This window comes from Homo sapiens, chromosome 1 (genome assembly GCF_000001405.40).
Source record: "Homo sapiens chromosome 1, GRCh38.p14 Primary Assembly".
Lineage (NCBI taxonomy): Eukaryota > Metazoa > Chordata > Mammalia > Primates > Hominidae > Homo > Homo sapiens.
The window spans coordinates 179179894-179201634 of record NC_000001.11 but is presented as its reverse complement, the minus strand read 5'-3'; the positions used below and the strand labels follow the sequence as shown (position 1 = coordinate 179201634).

At 39.8% G+C, this 21741-nt stretch overlaps 1 protein-coding gene, 1 non-coding gene and 2 pseudogenes across 10 annotated transcripts in view; 1 reads left to right on the top strand and 3 right to left on the bottom strand.

The window, feature by feature from the left end:
• ABL2 (ABL proto-oncogene 2, non-receptor tyrosine kinase) overlaps positions 1-21741 on the top strand; it is a 130348-nt gene that overhangs the window by 28043 nt on the left and 80564 nt on the right. The gene's annotated exons all lie outside the window — the stretch shown is intronic.
• On the bottom strand, positions 8-148 carry LOC124900429 (small nucleolar RNA SNORA67). The gene has a single exon (XR_007067386.1). It is a non-coding gene; the product is annotated as a small nucleolar RNA SNORA67 (small nucleolar RNA).
• On the bottom strand, positions 5056-5162 carry LOC124900432 (uncharacterized; annotated as a pseudogene).
• Positions 16769-17861, bottom strand: SETP10 (SET pseudogene 10; annotated as a pseudogene).

Here is a 21741-nt window from a genome sequence, read left to right as displayed (position 1 = left end):
TGGGTATCCATGTAGGCAGCCAAGGAAGGCAGAGGAAATAACCAGCCCTGTTCCCCAAATGCCTTAGGCATGCCAGATTCTGTTCCAGGTTGCTACTTTCCTGAGAGGGGCACTGGATGTTCCCCTTGGAGAGGGAATCACCTTGGATTACTATCTTTAAATCTTAAAGGGATTTTTCTCATAGATATTCTACTTAAGTATAGACAAATAATTTAATCATCCCATAATGTATCCACCATATTTGTGGCTTGTAAAAGTTTTAAAAGTTGGGCATAAGTAGCTGATAAGTTACAAAAAGATACAAATTTCAATAAGGTAATTTTAGTTAAAGTGACAGGAAATGGGGGTGCATTTTGAATAGAAAAACACAGAACTCCAAAAACAAGACAAAAAACCATGTTATTTCCAAAGAGAACATCTCAGTTGTGCAGAAAGAATTAACATAGCAGGCCTGATTGAGACTGATATGCTTAGCGAGGTCTGCTTGCAAGGTTGGCCCTTGGCTGGCATCTAGGAACTTAGATTTGGGGAGGGTTCCTACATTTCCAGAACCAAAAAGAGTGGCCCATTGTGCCTAAGCTGTTTGTATAAACAATGTGGTTTATAGAGAACACCTTTCTTTCTGGGAGTCTGGAATTTTGCTGTGTAGTAGGCAGAGGGTGCTTATGTGATCACCCCCTAAGAAGAACCTTGGAGACAGCATTTTACACATGTTGTTTTAATTCATTGCTGGAGGAAGTAAGTATGTCTTGTGTGACTCCACTGGGAGAAGACTTGGACACTTGCGCCTGGTTTTCTCTGGACATTGCCCCATGTACCTTTTTCCTTTGCTGATTTTGCTTTATATCCCTTTGCTGTGATAAAGCACGGCCATGAGTACAACTATGTGCTGAGTTTTCTGAGTCCTCCTAGTGAATCATCAAATCTGAGGGTGTTCTTGAAGATTTCCAATACAATAGTGGATCAGATAAGTTTATAATTGGAATCTCCATGTTCATACAAAATCTCTACATGGAAGCTTTCAATGGGTAGGTAGCATTTTTTGGGTTTAAGTTGTGCCCAAATGGGGTGGGAGATAGAATATGCGAAACTAAAAGTTTGGGATCTGAAGGAGAGAAAAAAAGGCTCTTAATTTGTGACTGAAAAACTTCTGTTTAACTTTTATCTTTGTGAAACTGTACCTTGCTGTCTAGCTATCTGATAAGGTTCTGTACTGTATAGAAATATATTATTCAGGAAGGAGAACTGAAAGTGCGACAACATAAATGTAACTCAAGAAAGCATTGTGGGCCAGGCGCGGTGGCCCATGCCTCTAATCCTAGCACTTTGGGAGGCTGAGGCAGGCAGATCACCTGAGGTCAGGAGTTCAAGACCAGTCTGGCCAACATGGCAAAACCCCATCTCTACTAAAAATACAAAAATTATCCAGGTGGAGTGGTGTGCACCTATAATCCTAGCTACTCAGGAGGCTGAAGCACGAGAATCTCTTGAACCTGGGAGATGGAGGTTGCAGTGAGCCAAGGCTGTACCACTGCACTCTAGCCTGGAAGACAGAGGGAGACTCCGTCTTAAAAAAAAAAAAAAAAAAAAAAAAAGGCATTGGGGGCCAGGTGCAGTGGCTCATGCTTGTAATCCTAGCACTTTGGGAGGCTGAGGCAGGAGGATTGCTTGAGTCCAGGAATTTGAGACCAGCTTAGGCAACACAGTGAGACCCTGACTCTACCAAAAGTTAAATTTTGGCTGGCATGGAGGTACATGCCTGTAGTCCCAGCTGCTCGGGAGGCTGAGGTGAGAGGATTGCTTGAGCGCAGGAGTTCAAGGCTGCAGTGAGCCATGATTATTGCCACTGCACTCTAGCCTGGGTGACAGAGAGAGAATCTGTCTCAAAAAAAAAAAAAAAAAAGGAAAAAGTGTATGGGTTTTGGAACTAGATAGATCTATGTTAAAATTCTGGTATTAACTGTGATTGTTTAATTATTTCTTCATTTATAAAATGAGGATAATGCCTGCTGCATAGGGTGGTTTGAGAATTAAATTAGATACTGTATATAAAACTTCTACCACTATATCTTTCATATAATAACTCAAAATGTTAGAGTACATGTGCTGTGAAGATGTAGAGAGATTGGAGAAGTTTAAAGGGGGAGAAAAAGAGAGAAGGTAAAGTTTGTGTTTCTCTTCTGTTTATTGTTTGATGTGAGGTTGCATAGGAAGATTAGTAGGAGAGAAGAAACATTAAGTTTTGGAAAATGGAATTTTAAATGGATCTCCACAATCACCCACTGAGACTTTTTATAGTTTAAGAACTAGGAATATCATAAATACAAAGTCATTTAGAGGATGGAAGAGGCATAGAAACTGTTTCCATACCTTTACAGTGAGGTTGTCATGAATTATTGACACCTGTGTGTTAGTAGGTTTCAATAACTGATTTAAACACATCCAACCTCATTCCCTCATCACAAATGCTTCCAGATAATAATGGGATAATTTGCCAGGTGTGGTGGCTCACGCGTGTAATCTCAGCACTTTGGGAGGCCGAGGCGGGTGGATCACCTGAGGTCAGGAGTTCGAGACCAGGCTGGCCAACATGGCGAAACCCCCATCTCTACTAATAATACAAACATTAGCTGGGCATGGTGGTGTGTGCCTGTAATCCCAGCTACTAGGGGGGCTGAGGCAGGAGAATCGCTTGGACCTGGGAGGCAGAGGTTGCAGTGAGCCGAGATCGTGCCACTGCACTCCAGCCTGGGCAACAGAGCAAGACTCCATCTTTAAAAAAAAAAAAAAAAGGATAATTTGGATAAATTTATAGACATGATACCCTATTAGCATTCCTAGAATTCATGTTTTCATGTTTGAAAAGATAGTGGCATCTTGAAACAGAATTGTGTGTGATTCTGGTATATGTGGCTTTGTTTTTTTTTTTTTTTTTTTTTTTGGAGATGGAGTCTTGCTCTGTTGCCCAGGCTGGAGTGCAGTGGCGTGATCTCGGCTCACTGCAGCCTCTGCCCCCCTGGTTCCAGCAGTTCTCTTGCCTCAGCCTCCTGGGTAGCTGGGATTACAGGTGCCTGACACCACGCCTGGCTACTTTTAGATTTTTAGTAGAGACGGGGGTTTCACCATGTTGGCCAGGCTGGTCTCGAACTCTTGGCCTCAGGTGATCCACCTACCTTGGCCTCCCAAAGTGCTGGGATTACAGGCATGGCCACTGCGCCTGGCCTGGGTGGGTTTTTTAAAAATAACTTTTTAATCTTGAAATAGTTTCAGGATTACAGAAAAGTTGCAAGAATAGCACAAACAACTCTCATGTGCTCTTTGCCTAGATTCCCTAATTGTCAACATTTTGTCTCATTTATTTTATCGTATTCTCTCCCTCTTTACCTTTCCTTCCTTTTCCTTCTCTTTTAAACTAGGAGTGTGTATCAAAATCACCTGGAAAACTTTTTTTTTTTTTTTTTTGGCACAGGGTTTCACTCTGTCATCCAGGCTGGAGTGCAGTGGCGTGGCACAACTCGTTGCAGCTTTGACCTCCTCAGGCTCAGGGGACCGTCGCACTTCAGCCTGTCAAGTAGCCGGGACTATAGACGTGTGCCACCACGCCAGCTAATTTTTATATTTTTAGTAGAGACATGGTTTCACCATGTTTCCCAGGCTTCTCTTGAATTCCTGGACTCAAGTGATCCGCCCGCCTCAGCCTCCTAAAGTGCTAGGATTATAGGTGTGAGCCACTGTGCCCAGCAGAAAACAATTTTTTTTTTTTTTTTGAGACAGTTTCGTTCTTGTCACCCAGGCTGGAATGCAGTGGCGTGATCTCAGCTCACTGCAGCCTCTACCTCCTGGGTTTAAGCAATTCTCCTGTCTTAGCCTCCCGATTAGCTGGGACTACAGTCACATGCCACCACGCCTGGTTAATTTTTGTATTTTTAGTAGAGACAGGATTTCACCATATTGATCAAGGTAGTCTCAAACTCCTGACCTCAGGTGATCCACCCTCCTTGGCCTCCCAAAGTGTTGGGATTACAGGCGTGAGCCACCTCACCCGGCCTTTTTTTTTTAATTTTTTTTTTTTTTTTTTGAACCAAGCAGGTGTATTCTGGAAGAAAATCAGACACCCTCCCTGGTTAAGAATTAGTTAACTATAATGTATTGGTGAATTGAGTTTATAGTCTTTTGGTGGGGGTAAAAGGGCCCTCAAAGTCATAGCAGGTTTAGTTGTACAGCCTTGAAGAGTATTTGATTTGCTCTTTAGCTTTTTCAATATATATTTTTTATTATCCCTTGGGTGCCATTGTTGCTATTGAGAAACTGTCAGTATAATTGTCCTTTCTGTAGACAATCTGTCATTTCTATCTGGTGGTTAAATTTTTTTTTTTGTCTTTAGTGTCTTGCATTTTCACTGGAAAGTGACTAGGTATAGATTTCTTATTATCCTACTAGCAATTTTTTGTGCTTCCAGAAACTACAGCAGTTTTTGGAAAAGTCTCAGCAATTATATCTTCAAATATTGCCTCGTTCTCATTTTTCTTTTCTTTCCCTCTTGAATGGTATTTAGATATGTTGGACATTCTATTCTGTCCTCATGTTGCATAACTTCTGTTTGATATATTCAATTTTTGTATCACCATGCTACATTTTGTGTATTCACAGTCATCTTTAGCTGAGCTAATCTGCTATTTGATTCATCCATTGAACTAATTTCAATTATTATGTCTTTTATTTCTGCAGGTTCTGTTTGATTCTCTTTAAAATCTGGTCTTATAAAAAAATTGTGGTAAAATACATGTAACATAAAATTTACCATTTTAACCATTTGAAAATGTACAGGTCAGTGGGGTTTTTTTTTTTGTTTTTTTTTGTTTGTTTGTTTTTTAAGACTGAGTTTCACTCTTGTTGCCCAGGCTGGAGTGCAGTGGTGCTGATCTTGGCTCACTGCAACCTCTACCTCCTGGGTTCAAGCGATTCTCCTGCCTCAGCCTCCCGAGTAGCTGGGATTACAGGCACCTGCCACCACACCCGGCTAGTTTTTGTATTTCTAGTATAGATGGGGTTTCGCCATATTGGCCAGGCTGGTCCTGGAACTCCTGGACTATTCTATTCCAAGTTGCTACTTCCTGAGAGGGTCACTGGATGTCCCCCTTGGAGAAGGAATCACCTTGGATTACCATCTTTAAATCTTAAAGGGATTTTTCTCATAGGTATTCTACTTAAGTACAGACAAATAATTTAATCATCCCATAGTGTATCCACCATATTTGTGGCTTGTAAATGTTTTAAAACTTGGGCATAAGTAGCTGATAAGTTACAAAAAAGATACAAATTTCAATAAGGTAATTTTAGTTAAAGTGACAGGAAATGGGGGTGCATTTTGAATAGAAAAACACAGAACTCCAAAAACAAGACAAAAAACCATGTTATTTCCAAAGAGAACATCTCAGTTGTGCAGAAAGAATTAACATAGCAGGCCTGATTGAGACTGATATGCTTAGCGAGGTCTGCTTGCAAGGTTGGCCCTTGGCTGGCATCTAGGAACTTGGATTTGGGGAGGAACTCCTGGCCTCAAGTGATCCGTCCACCTCGGCCTGCCAAAGTGCTAGGATTACAAGCGTGAGCCATTGCTCTTTTCATACTGTTGTGTAACCATCCATCACTACCATATAACCATACATGACCACCATCCATCTCCAGAACTCTTTTCTTCTTCCAGACTGAAGCTCTGCATCTGTTAAATTATAATTCCCCGTTTTATAATTTCCTCTAGCCCTTGGCAACCACATTTTACTTTCTGCCTTTATGAGTTTGACTACTCTAGGTTCCTCATATAAATGGAATCATATAGTATTTGCCCTTTTGTAACTGGCTCATTTCATTTAACTTAATCTTCAAGGTACATCTGTGTTGTAACGTGCAGGAGAATTTCTTTTTTTTTATTTAAGGGCTGAATGATATTTAATGGTGTGTATGTAGCCCATTTTCTTTATCCACTCATCTCTTTATGGACTACTTTGATTGCTTCCACTTTTTGGCTATTGTGACTAATGCTGCAGTGAACATGGGCATGCAAGTATATCTGAGTTCCTGCTTTCAATTCTTTTGAATATATATATACAGAAGTGAAATTGTTGGATCATACAGTAATTCTATGTTTAATTTTTCTGAGGAACCACCATACTGTCTTCCATAGTGGCTTTACCATTTTATATTCCCACCAATAATGCACAAGGGTTCTAGTTTCTCCATACCCTCACCAACATTTGTTATTTTCTGTGTTCGTGTGTGTTTTAGTAATAGCCATCCTAATGGCTGTGATGTGGTATCTCACTGTTTTTTTGTTTTTTGTTTTTTTTGAGACAGAGTTTTACTGTGTTGCCCAGGCTGGAGTGCAGTGGTGCGATCTCAGCTCACTGCAACCTCAGTCTCCTGGGTCCCAGCGATTCTCTTGCCTCAGCTTCTTGAGTAGCTGGGACTACAGGAATGCACTGCCATGCCCGGGTAAGTTTTGTAGTTTTAGTAGAGATGGGGTTTCACCTTGTTGGCCAGGCTGGTCTGGAACTCCTGACCTCAGGTAATCCACCTGCCTCAGGCTCCCAAAATGCAGGGATTACAGGCGTGAGCCACCATGCCTGGCCTCTCATTGTCGTTTTGATATGCATTTCCCTAATTATTAGTGATGTTGGGCATTTTTTAACAAGTGTTTATTGGCTATTTGTGTATCTGTTTTCGAGAAATTTTTAAGTCCTTTGCCCATTTTTGAATCTGTTTGCTTTTTTGTTGTTGACTTGTTGGTCTTTGTTTTATAGTGCCATTTTCTTCTTACTATCATTACCCTCTTTTTTTCTTTAAGCATATTAAACGCAACATATTTGTTCCTGAGTAACCAGTTATTCCCAAATTTAGCAGCTTAAAACAAACAACATTTATTCTGAGTGTCAGAAATCTGAGAGTGGCTTAGCTGGGTGGTTCTAGCTCAGGGTCTCTCACAAGGTTCCAGTCATACTGCTAGCTGGAGCCCTTGTATTCTTCAGTGGATTTTAATTATTTGCAGAAATATGAAGTGTTTTGTGTGTAGAGTTTTAATATGTGTGTAAATAGTGTGTTGATACCTTAAAAATTGTTTTTTAGAAATCCTTATTCCATGTTAGCAGAAATTATATGATATGTAAAAAAATCATTTTCAAGCCTCCATCAGTAGTTTCTCAAATTTATCTTTGATAACCCCTGGCTCTTTAGGAAGCACTCTACTTAATGTTCATGATTTGATTGTTGACATTTAGTTCAGTGAAGTAGTTTAATTTCCATAAAAACTTCCTTTGCCCGTTAGGAAACTATTAAGGATGATTGATTTTTCACTTACTAAATTCGTGCTCATGTAACAAGATTCTTGAAAGAGGTTATTGTATTTGAAACACTGGAAATGGTATTTGTCAAAAAAAATGTGTTTCTACCTTGTAGGACCTTCACTGTAGTCAAAATTATGAAATTTATGAAAACTAATGTTAACTCTGTTTTGACCATGGGAAAAAAGATATTTAGGTGAGATTATAAAAAAGTGAATTTATTATGACAGAGTTTGATTAGTAAGTCAAAAAACTGTTCCTCACCAGTCCACTAGGGGATACTCCAGTACTTAGGAAGAAAATCCAGTTGTTGCTATCACTTAAAAATTTGGCCAGGATCGAGACCATCCTGGCTAACAAGGTGAAACCCTATCTCTACTAAAAAAATACAAAAAATTAGCTGGGCCACATGGTGGCGGGCGTCTGTAGTCCCAGCTACTCAGAAGGCTGAGGCAGGAGAATGGCGTGAACCTGGGAGATGGAGCTTGCAGTGAGCCGAGATCGCGCCATTGCACTCCAGCCTGGGCGACAGAGCGAGACTCCGTCTCCAAAAAAAACCAAAAAAACAAAATACAACAGCAACAAAAAATTAGGCCAGGCACGGTGGCTCACACCTGTAATCCCAGCACTTTGAGAGGCCAAGGAGGGTGGATCACTTGAGGTCAGGAGTTCAAGACTAGCTTGGTGAACATGGTGAAACCCCATCTCTACTAAAAATACAAAAAATTAGGTGGGCGTGGTCGCAGGCGCTTGTTATCCCAGCTATTTGGGAGGCTGAAGCAGGAGAATTGCTTGAACCCAGGAGGCAGAGGTTGCAAGTGAGTCAAGATTGCGCCATTGCACTCCAGCCTGAGTGACAGAATGAGACTCTGTCTCAAAAAAGAAACAAACAAACAAAAAATTAAATCCCACTTGCTTACCTGAAAAAAAAAAAAGCAGACATTTAGGGCTGGTTTGAGTTACTGATTTGACAATAATATTCACCTTTAGAAAGAGCCTAGTACATTTTTAAAGTTTAGAAATTTTGTGTGATTTCATTGGCCACTTTTTCTGGTAGTGTTGCCACAAATTGACTTCTTCGGGCACTTTAGAAAAACAGATTATTATATTTTTTTTCTTGATACATGAAAATTATGGTTCTCATTTTTTTTTGCAAGTTGTGCCCTTTTTTGGAAATTCAGAAAGGCTGATATTTGGTGTGAGTTTGTATAATTTTCTCCATCATACCATGTATGCTGTTTAAATGTTTACCTTAGAAAAGTATGAAATATGATATGACCTTTGATATAGACAACAACGCAGAAGATAATTCATTCTGTTACCAAAGATATTTTAAGAGTTTAATGTTATCTTGATTTCTTTCTAGTAATTTAAGTAGTAATTCAAATAGACATAATACAGTGTGACTTAATGCTTTAAAGAAAAATACGTGAAAAGTTCTGTACTTGAAATAGCAAAATTTTAAGAAAATAATTCAGACTCTTGTATTTATTAGGAAGAAGTTATCAGACTTAATGTTTCAGAACATACTTTGAATAACCAAAATTTATTAATTTACTTAACCTAGTTTTAAAATTTTTTCTATGTGATGTGATTGTACAGTTTTTCTGCATGCCATGTGTTTCATTCTTTTATGTCTGGCACATAAGTAATTAAAGGTTAAGTCAATTGTCAGATTTAACTCAACCTGCTTGAGTTAATTTACTTGATTTTTCTGGTACTTACAGGTACAACAAATGGGTGAATTGGTGTGCCATTATGATAACATGACTTGGAAAATGGAAATTCAGGCAGTGTGGGACAAGAACAAGGATATTTATTTGTCCAGTGAGAATAAAAGTGGTCTAGGATTTATTGAGAGTTTGTTGTAATTCGAGCTTGAGTGATAATTTTATAGGATGTTATGGAGATAACAGTGTTGGTGGAAGGGTTTGACATTCCACATTTGACATTCTCTTATCATATTTTTTGGTTTGTCTCTGTCTCCCTAATGAAATGAAATAGGAAACAGCTAGAGAGTGGTGGGATATGAGTAGTTGTGCATTTGGATAGATTGACTAGCATGCTCAAGATGCCAGCCATATCTACCTTTGGTAGAGTGAGAGCCAAGGTATTCCTGTGGATTGTTTTTCGTAACTAAATCTGTAACTACTGAGTATAGAGTCCCTGCTATATACGTGACTAACCAAGGAGTGAAATATGATTGGTTCAAATATTTTGTTATATTTTGACTGTAGGGGAATGGTAAAATGTCACCAAGTATAAGTTACTCTTCTGCTTTATACTTTGTTTGCAATTAAATGTATTTTTCTTAAAGAGAATATAAAAGCAAAGGAAAAACCATTTGTAATGCTTTTGCTTAGGTCCAACCTTAATTTTTATATGACAGTTTCCAATTGATTGTCAGATTTTCTGTCTCATTTCAATTGAGTAATTGTTCCATCTGTCATTTAACATGACACAGACTGTTTCTTAGTAATTGTTTTGAAAACTCTTTAGTGATTTTTAAAAACCTTTACAGAGTGTTGATTATTTAAATGATAGCAGAATATGTATATATGAAGTAATTTCAGAGGCCGGACAAGGTGGCTCATGCCTGTAATCCCAGCACTTTGGGAGGCCGAAGTGGGTGGATATCACCTGAGGTAATGAGTTCAAGACCAGCCTGGACAACACGGTGAAACCCTATCTCTACTAAAAATACAAAAAATTAGCTGGGTATGGTGGCACATGCCTGTAATCCCAGCTACTTGGGAGGATGAGGCAAGAGAATCGCTTGAACCCAGGAGACAGAGGTTGCAGTGAGCCGAGATTGTGCCTTTGCACTCCAGCCTGGGCAATAAGAGCGAAACTCCGTCTCAAAAAAAAAAAAAAAAAAAAAAAAGGGATTTCATACAGAAAGATTAAGGTTCTCATACTATCATACAACATCTAATAATTTAATATAGAAGAATTGGAAAAGTATACAGCCTTATTTGATTTTGAAAATTAAGTGCAATCATCTATTACCTTATAGCTGGCAGAAATCAGTGCTTATTCTTTCTAACTTTGGGTTTATAATCCTTACCCTTTGTGATGTAGTAAGAATATAAAGTACTGGGAAGACCATTAGTCTAGTATTGGTCCATGAAGGATTTCATTACTGTCATCATTCTGGGTTTTCTTTTCTGAAAGTGACGTTCTTCCTGTGGCCTTCTTGGCAATTGAGAGGACCGCTGTTTTCAAGAGAACTGGGAGTGGCTTCCTATCTAAATAGGGACTAGCTGTGGTTAGAAGGGGAAGTGGGAAGTGGCTGGATCGCTGCCTCTACTTTTTCCTATTAAACGCTTTTTCCTCTCAACTCCATTACCAGGCCTAGGACCTTAAATTCTGGATATAATGGACCATATCCTGGAATATTGTTTTGTTATGGCAACTTTGGTGACAGAATTTCTTATAACAATGAAACATTATGTGATATTGTGAAATGTATATTTGGTCTTTATTCCGTTTCCCCGGCCAAAAAAAACCTCCTAAAATTCTAGGACTCTCACTGGTGATTAGAGCATCTTTTGTATGCTAATGAGGTGACTGGAGGCTGGGGACCCCTAGATAGCTTCAGGATGGGGACTGGTCACCTGAAAGACTGAGGAGAGGCGTGATTAGAAGGTTGGGGCTTTCATCACTCACCCCCTCACCCCCCTCCATCCCACCCCACCCCCCACGTCTCTGTGGAGGGGGGAGAGGCTGAAAGTTAACGTCATCAACGTCATCAACAATGGCCAGTGATTTAATCAACTATGCCTATGTAATGAAGCTTCCACGAAACCTAGAAGTACTGGGTTGAGACAGCTTTGGGATAGCTGAACACATGGAAGTTCCTGAAGGACTCTGCTCAGCCCCTCTTCTCCCACACCTTGCTCTGTGTATCTTTTTATTTGGTTGTTCATCTGTATCTTTTGTAATATCCTTTATAATAAATAAGTAAACGTATGTAAAGTGTTTCCCTGAGTTCCGTGAGCCACTCTTGCAAATTAGTCTAACCAAGGAGGGGGTTGTGGAAATCCCAGTTTATTGCCAATCAATCAGAAATGGCATCTGAAGTCTGGGACAGTCATGTGGGCCTGAGCCCTGGACTTGTGGAATCTGACACTATCTCTAGGTAGGTGGAATTAGAATTGAGTTAAATTGTAAGACACCCAGGCTGGGCCCGGTGGCTCACGCCTGTAATCCCAGCACTTTGGGAGGCCGAGGTGGGCAGATCACCTGAGGTCAGGAGTTCGAGACCAGCCTCAACATGGAGAAACCCCGTCTCTACTAAAAATACAAAATTAGCCCGTCATGGTGGTGCATGCCTGTAATTCCAGCTACTCAGGAGGCTGAGGCAGGAGAATTGCTTGAACCTGGAAGGCGGAGGTTGCCATGAGCCGAGATCACGCCGTTGCACTCCAGTCTGGGCAACAAGAGCAAAACTCCGTCTCAAAAAAAAAACAAAAAAAATGGTAAGACACCCAGCTTGTGCGCTTCTGTCTCTAGGTAGATAGAAGTGAGTTAAATTGTAAGACACCAGCTTGTGCACTGCTTGCTTGGTGTGTGGAGGAAATAACCCCACACATCTGGTGTTAGAAATATTGTGTTGAGTGGTGAGAGTAGGCCAAAACACTTTGGGGTTTTGTTTTTTCTATCCTCAGACTCCTCTTACCGTTTGGTAGCTGTGTCACCCTTTATGAATGAATAAATGAATGTACATAACGACTTCCTAGTGACAAGACGATTGCTAATTAAGATGTAATATGATACAAGAGTAGGGAACATTTAAGAAAGTAACATTTAACTTGTTCTCTGAGAAATTCCTGGAGAGTCTTATTAAAATACCCTAGAACAGGGCAGGGCGCGGTGGCTCATGCCTGTAATCCCAGCACTTTGGGAAGCCAAGGTGGGCGGATCACCTGAAGTCAGGAGTTTGAGATAAGCCTGGCCAACATGGTGAAACCCCGTCTCTACTAAAAATACAAAATAGCCGGCTGTGGTGGTGCATACCTGTAATCCCAGCTACTCGGGAGGCTGAGACAGGAGAATCACTTGAACCTGGGAGACGAAGGTTGCAGTGAGCCTAGATCGCACCATTGCACTCCAGCCTGGGCAACAAGAGTGAAACTCTGTCTCAAAACAACAACAATAACAACAACAAAAAACACCCGAGAACAACATGAAGATTGTCATGTTTTGGCCATTAGTGTTCCACATCATGAGAATGCAGAATTAAACTGGAAAGTTAATGTAATTCAGTCATTGTTATAACCTGTTAAATTAACATGTTACATTTTGTTTAATTTTGAAAAATTAACTCGTTAATATAGTTCAAGATTTAAGGGGTATACATTTAATCTCCCTATATTTCTCTCCCTTTAGCCTCTTCTCTAGAGGCAATCAATAGTCTCAGTTTAAATATACTTTTAACATTTATTATTTAAAGGACTTCTTTGGTGTGTATGAATAATTAAAGTTGATAACATGGATTCTAGAGTCAGACATTTTAGATTTTCATCTACTCAACAGTTACTGAGCACCTACCAGGTAGTTTCTTGGCACTGGAAATACAGCACTGAACAAATCACAGCCTTCTTGGAAATTACATTATAGTGCGTGGAGACAGGTGCTAACTAAATATTTATTTACTATACAATGTGGTGATTAGTGGTAGGAAGGAAGATAGTGCTGGGTAAAGGGAGAGAGTGATAGTAGAGGTGCTGTTTTAATTTTATTTTTTTGAGACAAGAGTCTTGCTCTGTTGTCCAGGCTGGAGTGTGGTGGTGTGATCTCGGCTTACTGCAACCTCTACCTCCCGCGTTCAAACAATTCTCCTGCCTCAGCCCCCTGAGTAGCTGGGATGACAGACGTGTGCCACCACGTCCCGCTATTTTTTTTTTTGTATTGTTAGTAGAGATAGGGTTTCGCCATATTGGCCAGGCTCATCTCCAACTCCTGCCCTTAGGTGATCTACCTAGCTTGGCTTCCCACAGTGCTGGGATTACAGGCCTGCGTCACCACGCCCAGCAGATGTGCTGTTTTAGATTGGGTGGCTGGGGAAAGCCTCTGATGGGGTAACGTTTGAGCAGAGAATTACTGAAAGAGTCAAACTTTTGGCTTTTGAGATAAAAACATTTCAGGAAGAGGACCATCAAGGGCAAAAGTCTGGAGACTGTATTTACAGTAGAGGTGTATATCCTTCCAGAATGGCAGAAGAGGCTAGACTGGCTGGAGAAGAAGGCTGAAGGAGAATGGTAGGGGATAATATATAAGAGGAAAAAGAAAGTAAAAGAATTGTGTGGGAGTAGTGATGGGGATTGCTGATGACTGGTTATGTAGGATTTGTATATCATAAGGAAGTAGGATTTTATTCTGAGTGGGATGGGAATCTTTTGGAGAGTTTATAGGGTTCAGTCTAGCTGATTTGTGGACAATAAACTCTTGGGGACAAGGGTGAAAGCAGAGAGATTAGTTATGAGTCTGAAATAGCCATAGAGTATACAACACTGTACTAGATACAGTGAGCTTTATCAAATTTAGTTAGTATTATTTCTTCCCTAGATTTGACTTTTACCCCTTGAGGAATGGAGGTAAGAAGTAAAAATGAATTCATAATGAACATTTATATTTGTAAATGATAACTTTAGGAATTACAGTTAAACTCTGGAGGGATTCAAATTTGTACAGATCCCTTATTTCAAGAAATATGGTAAAATTCCCCAAAGAAACTCCAATACCTTTTATAGTTATATTATAGCATACAATAATTTTTTTTCTTAGGCCTTCCAAAAAAGGCTGTGTTGCACAGTTTTGACAAATTAAATATTGGGTACTATTTTTTCCTCCCCATTTTGACTAGATGACATTTTGAATTTGAAACTTCTTTGGTTTCTCCAATGTATATCAAAGTGCTAGAAAGTATTTAAAAGGCAAAATCCTTAGACTTTAAGCAACCAAGTTGCTAGTGATGAAAATAAATGGAATATAAAAATGTCAACTTGGAAAATTTAAACTGACAGAATAATATGTTTGAATTTACTGGCAAACCTGCTGCATCTGGTATTGCAGAAAGGAGTGGAATGTGGGAAATCTGAAATCTGAGGATCTCAGAACTCCTAATAACTAACTGGGTGAATGAAGGCCCTTGAGTCAAAAATGAAATCACATATAAGAGAGACAAAGAGACTAGACATGGTAAAGATGTAGAAAATGGAAAACCAAGGTGGACACTGAAAAGTACACTATAAATGGTAATGGGGCCGGGCGTGGTGGCTCACAACAGTAATCCCAGCACTTTGTGGGGGCAGGTGGATCACTTGCAGTCAGGAGTTCGAGACCAGCCTGGCCAACATGACATAACCCCGTGTCTACTAAAAATACAAAAATTAGCCAAGCATGGTGGCATGCACCTGTGGTCCCAGCTACTTGGGAGGCTGAGGCCTAAGAATTGCTTGAACCTGGGAGGTGGAGGTTGCAATGAGCCTAGGTTGCACCATTGCACTCCAGCCTGAGTGACAGAACGAGACTCTGTAAATAAATAAATAGTATTGGAAGCAGAAGAGAAATGGGAAATGAAAGTTAAATGGAAAGTCCGGCATATTGACAAAACTTTAAATAAATATTTGCTGGATCCAGTCAGGTTTAAGAAAGAAGTTGAGGCCGGGCACAGTGTCTGAAGTCAGGAGTTTGAGACCAGCCTGGCCAACATGGTGAAACCCCGTCTCTACTAAAAATACAAAAAAATTAGCTGGGCATGGTGGTGGGCGCCTGTAATCCCAGCTATTTGGGAGGCTGAGGAAGGAGAATCGCTTGAACTCAGGAGGCGGAGATTTCAGTGAGCCAAGATCACGCCATTGCACTCTAGCCTGGGCAAGAAGAGCGAAACTCCCTCTCAAAACAACAACAACAACAAAAAAGAAGTTGAAATGGCTGATAAACCCAAACACACACGCTCAAAAAGAATTGTGAAATAAATTCCAAGGCTAGTATACATTACTCATTAAGTAGTTGTAGCCCAGAAGAGGGCATTGCCAATTTTTTTTTTAAGACAGCGTCTCCCTCTGTCACCCAGGCTGGAGTGCAGTGATGCCATCTCGGCTCACTGTAACCTCTGCCTCCCAGGTTCAAGCGATTCTCCTGCCTCAGCCTCCCGAGTAGCTGGGATTATAGACACGCCCCACCATACCCAGCAAATTTTTGTATTTTTAGTAGGGACAGGGTTTCGTCATGTTGTCCAGGCTGGTCTTGAACTCCTGGCCTTAAGTGATCTCCCCGCCCGGGCCTCCCAGAGTGCTGGGATTACAGGGTGAGCCACTGCGCCCGGCCCATTGCTAATTTTCTCTACTCTCAATTTCTATTAATTTGGTTTGCTTGTCTAGGCTTCCTAAAATAGGACTTATAAAAGTAGCTATTAAGTATTTCAAGTTAATGGTTTAGAAGGTAATTTTTTAAATTAAAAAAATAGTATTACAGGAGTAACTTTATCCAGGGAAAGCATTGTATATTCTTATTAATAAATTCTCATTATATATCTTCATGGGTTTTTATTATTGCTATAATCTTTATGTACAGCTACCTCTTTTTAGTCAAAAACAATATAATGCTACTTTTAACTCAAACTTACATACTTTTAATTTCTGTTTAAAATAAGAAAATGTAATATGGCATACCACACTTTGGGTCATGGAATCATAAGATGTTTGAGCTGAAATAAGTTTTTTCCTTTGTGGACACATTTAGTTTTATTATAACAAAGTGACTTATACAAAGCAACTTGTACACTTTTAACTTTTAAAACTGAGCATCATCTTTCCTTTCCAGTGAAACAAAAAAATTTTTTTTAAAAAAAACAGGGTGAAAATTACAATAGAGAATGTCAATTCCACATAAGATACTACAGGTTTTGCTGATTCTCCCATTGAGTGGCAGGGCTCAAGTCATCATTAGGAGAGAATTTATTTTAAAAGTATTACCTTAAACTGCAAGGATGTCTGTCAGACACCTCAATTTAACATGCCAAAAGAGAAGCCATGTTGTCAAAATGCCCGCTTAACCCATCCAAACATCTCAAATCCACCCTTTGCTGACCTTCTCTAACCCCATTTTTTAAAGTTTTCTTTCCCCCTTTTTAAACAAGAGAAAGTAGACAGATGCATATTGGTAAATGCTAACTGTCCATATTCACGTAGAGACACAGTGTACTGTCTGAGTCCAGTATACAGAGAAAGGAGAAAAGAAGCTAGAATTCTGTGTACTACTACACAGGGGCCTAGCACCCTCCAGCTTCCAGCAGAGTGAAGGGAGCAGGTTTTTCTTTTTTTCCGACAGAGCTAGGTGGTGGTGATTCCATACAGTTTTTGTTCAGACAGGAAGGGATAAAAATGAATTTGGAACAGAAAGGGGTAGAGACTCTTTTACCATAATACTCTGCTCAAGGTATTTACCTCCCAAATAAGTTGAGAATCATGGTGTATAGAAAAGAGACCTCAAGAACAGGGCAAGTGAGCCACAAGAGGGGGAAAAAAAAGACTGCAACTTACTCCCAGGGACTGGAGAAAATTTTAAAAAGGAAGGTTGAATCCATCAGTGTTCTATTAGTCATCTTCTCCTTCACCCTACTGTCCTTCCTTCCCTTTATCATCATCATCATCTTCTTCCTCATCCCCTTCTTCATCAATATCTTCTAATCCTTCCTCTTCCTCCTCCTCCTCCTCCTCATCTTCTCCTCCTTCTTCATCCATATCAGTCGGTAACCAAGTAGTACTGTAATGGGATGGGACAAATGTCATCTTTGATGAACTTTCCTAACATATGAGCACCTGCATCAGAATGGTCAGTAAACCAGATAAAGAAGCTCTCTGGTGCCTCATGCTGCCTCTTCCTGCTGGCTTTATTCTGTGTTTGACTTGAATGTTTCATCGCATCCTTTCCAGCTTTCCATTTGATTTCAGTGGACTTTGAAGATGGAATACCACTCTCATTCAAATGAAATTCGTTGAAGATAACTTTATTTTTAAAGGAAGGATTTTCATCAAAATAAAAGTCTATTCTGTAACCTGACTTAGTATCTTCAAATTCTGTCACTTCAACTTTGGTCAGATAATGCAGTGCGTCTTTGTCCTCCTCCCTAAGCAGTGCAGACACTTGAGGATGGTTGACAAACGTTGTAACCCCAAAACTTGGAACTTTGGCGATCAATTCTCACCTCTTCTGAAAAAGTGGCTGACAGAGTTTATTTTCTGTTCTGCTTTCAGAATCTCCTCCCTTAGTTCATTAAGCCTGTCTATTTCATTTTGTACTTCATCAATATGTTCAGTTGCTTCCTGCTGTTCTTTTTCTCTCTTCGGCAAGTCTAGAGAGGCTGATGATGTCTCTTCCAGTCTCAGAACAGGAGGTGGTCTTGGTTTCTTCTTTTGAGGTGGGCGTGGAGACTAGCATTTAGGGGCCATGCTGCTAGGAAAGTCCAAGAACCAGACCACAAGTCTCCTTGCTCATCAGGAAGAAGCTCAGAAAACTCTGAAATAATTTTAGAGTGATCTTTTCCCCTGCTCCTTAATTTTACAGATGAAGAAATGGAAACACAGTAAAATTCCCGTATCTAGTTATGGCAGAGAAAAGACCAGAACTTTGGTCTTCTGGCTTCTGGTTTAGTGCTCTACAACATTTTAACTTACGTTTGTATTATAATTTTTTTTTAATCATTTCAGTTGTACATGAACAAAAACAGGAATTATCTTTTTTTGTTAGATTGTTGCTTTGTGATTAATTGACCTGAATTGAGTGCTTTCTGCATACATAGAAAGATGCACTCTTTTTGTTGAGAAGGTTAACAGCCTTGTGATTGTCTTCCTTTAAGTGAAAATCAACCTGTACTTTCTAGGGATACATATTTATCTAAACTTTCTAATGTTTTTGTTGTTGTTGTTGTTGTTATAAATTTAAGTGGTACAAGTACAGTTTTGTTATGTCGTGGTGAAGTCTGAGCTTTTAGTGGAACCATCACCTGAATAATGTAAGTTGTACGCATTAAGTAATTTCTCATCCCTCACCTCCCGCCCCACCCACTGAGTCTCCAGTGTCCTATTCTACACTCTGTGTCCATGTGTACACATTATTTAGCTTCCACTTGTGAGAACATGCAGTTCTCTATTTGGGAGGCTGAGTAGGAGATCATTTGAGCCCAGGAGATCGAGGCTGCAGTGAGCCGTGATCTTGCCACTGCACTCTGGCCTGGGTGACAGAGTGAGACACTGTCTCAAAAACAAAAACAAAAAACTTAGCTATTTGTTAAATCAAGAGCCCCAGTGATTCTTACCAGCAATACTATGACAATCCACTTCCAGTTTTCTGTACCTCAAAAAAAATGCTGATATCCTAAAATATTCCTAGTATCCTAAAATATTCCATAAATCAGATATCCTACAAAGCCAAACTGGTCCTTCTTGTTAAAATTAATAAGATTCTATAAGCTGTTAACCAAAAAAGTTTCCACTAACACTGCATACTTAACTCTCCTAAATAAATTTAAATATGCAAAATGTTAATTCAAATCAAAATAATAATAAACACAACCATAAAGCTAGCAATTAAGATTAAAAGGTTTATGAGTGTCTATTAAAGGATAAATGGATAAAGAAAATGTGATATCTGTATACAATGGAATACTATTCAGCTATAAAAATGAATGAAATCATGTCTTTTTGTGGCAACGTGGATGGAACTGGAAGCCATTATCTTAAGTGAAACAGCTCAGAAACAGAAAGTCAAATATGCTGGAAGATCTTCTCTGATTACTTTAATTTTCTAAGCCAGGTCATTGGCTTAGTAAGAAAGGAAGCTATTAGGAGTTTGAAAAGAGAGGAGAGCATATAATTGTCTAGAAAGTGGGAAAGTGAATGGACTAGAGAAATACAGTATGATCACCAGGCAGTGTTAAGGGCTCATTTGAGGCTAAAGGTTCTGAGTTAAAAGTGAGGCCAGTCAGCTTGGTTTTGTGCTTTTTTTTCTCCAGCCACCTTCACTTTAGGAGTAGGAGAATAGTTGAATTTACCCAGCTTGTGGTTCTGCAAAGTGAGTATGTCCAAGTGAGAGAGGAGCAAGTGATTATAATGATGGACCATGGAACTTAAGCTGGTAAGGAGGGAAGAGAGGACTTCACAGGGTGAGAAACAGTGAAAAGATAGTTTGAAGATAGGCTGGGTGCGGTGGCTCACGCCTGTAATTCCCAGCACTTTGGGAGGCTGAGGCAGGCGGGTCATGAGGTCAGGAGATCAAGACCATCCTGGCCAACATGGTGAAACCCTGTCTCTACTAAAAATACAAAAAAAAAAAAAAAAAAAAAAATAGCCGGGCCTGGTGACACGTGACTATAGTCCCGGCTACTCAGGAGGTTGAGGCAGGATAATTGCTTGAACCTGGGAGGCAGAAGTTGCAGTGAGCCGAGATCATGCCATTGCATTCCAGCCGGGGCAATAGAGTGAGACTCTGTCTCAAAAATAAAAATAAAATAAAATAAAAATTAAAAAAAGATAGTTCAAAGATAGCGGTCAGTAGATGGGAGATCTGGTGGGGTCACAAGATTATATGAATTCGTGTATTAGAAAGAATGAGCTGGAAATATAAAACATGGTATTCAAAAAGAGTTGCATGAAATTGAGATTATTGACAGGGTGCATTAGAGTGTGCTGAGTTAGGGTTACATTTAGCTCTTTGCTTTTCACAGCAGCACCATGATATAGATAGTGTAAGCATCATTAAGCATGTTTCATAAATGAGAAAACTGAAGCTCAGCGAGGTTGGGCAGTTTTCCCAAGGTCACAAAGCTGCTGATAGGCTAGTTATTTAGGACTCAGATCCCATTACTCTGATTCTCAATACTCACTCCTCTACCATACTATATCAGTTTTCTGAAAGTTAGTAACTTATTTCCCTATCTTTGCACCTAGATTGCAATCTCAAGTTGAAACTTTTGACAAATATACATTACCAAAATTATTTTCCTCTTCAGAAATCTTCAGACTCTAATCTTAGGGCAATGTTGGAGGGGTTTACTGCCACTATTTTTACCTAGCTGATCTTATTGAAAACACACATATATTAGAGGCTTAAATATGATAGTTTTGTTTAAACTCCGTTTCATAATGGGGCTTAAGGTGGGTGGAAGATGGAACAAGAAGGAATGTACTGTTCTTTCAGCAGCATGCCTGGACAGACAGCTGTACTGTTAGAATGTGTCCAAATCCATGTGTGTTCTTTTTGGTGGCAGTTTGCACCATTGCAAGTCTAAAGGATAGTTGGTTATTGGATGTTGTCCATTTGGGATATGATTCTCTTCTTTCCCCCAATGAAATAATTATCACGCTTTTTGCATTTTTGCACATTTAGCTTTGTGGTAGGGGGCGGACTTGGAAGAATTCTTTAAATGTGAAGGAAGAATGGGGGAATTATTATTAAGTATACTCTGAACTGATCTTTATCATTTTAAATGACAGAATAGAAAAATGTTTCACCTAAATTTCAGATGGTTTTTTTCTTTTAAAAATTATTTTAAATTGTGATAAAATAAACACAACATAAAATTTACTTTGTTATCAGATGTTTTAATATCCTCTATTATTTTGTTGGTATAATGTTCTGTTTAAAATATGAATAGTTCCCTGGAGGTGACCCTTATGCACCTTGGCCACGGGAACTCTCTTTCTTCTCTGTTACTTTTCTGTTTCCTACCTGCTACTGGTACTGGACCTTTTTATTCCACTAGTGAAGTCTGATGATAGAACATGGGGGTAGAGAGGTGGTAGGCCTTAGCAGCAGAGTCTCATTCAGTATCTGTGAAACATGGGACATATCAGCTCCTTCCTCTCCTCTAGAACCTTCGTGGCAGCTCCTCAGAGGGAACGTATAAGAAAGCCTGAGTCAGGGTATATACAACTCTGATCTTATTGCTTCCTTGCTTACCAGCTTTTATTGATTTCTTACCATCTTCAGAGTGAGGTCCCAACTCCTTAACAGAGCATCCAAAGCTTTCATAATTTGGTGCATTCCCAATCTCATACATGCTCCTGAGGCTGTAGCCATACTAAAGTACAGGTGGGCCTGTAAATATAGCCTGTCCTTGGCATACAGTAGGTGGTCCAGAAGTATTTCCCCCCTTTTTTTTTTTGTTTTTTTAAGACAGGGTCTCACTCTGTCACCCAGGCTGGAGTGCAGTACCCAGGCTGGAGTGCATGGCTCACTGCAGCCTCAACCTCCCTAGGCTCAAGTGATCCTCCCACCTCAGCCTCCCAGGTAGCTTGGATGACAGGCGTGTGCCACCAACACCTGGCTAATTTTTTTTTTTTTTTGTATTTTTAGTAGAGACAGGGTTTCGCCATGTTGTGCAGGCTGGTCTTGAACC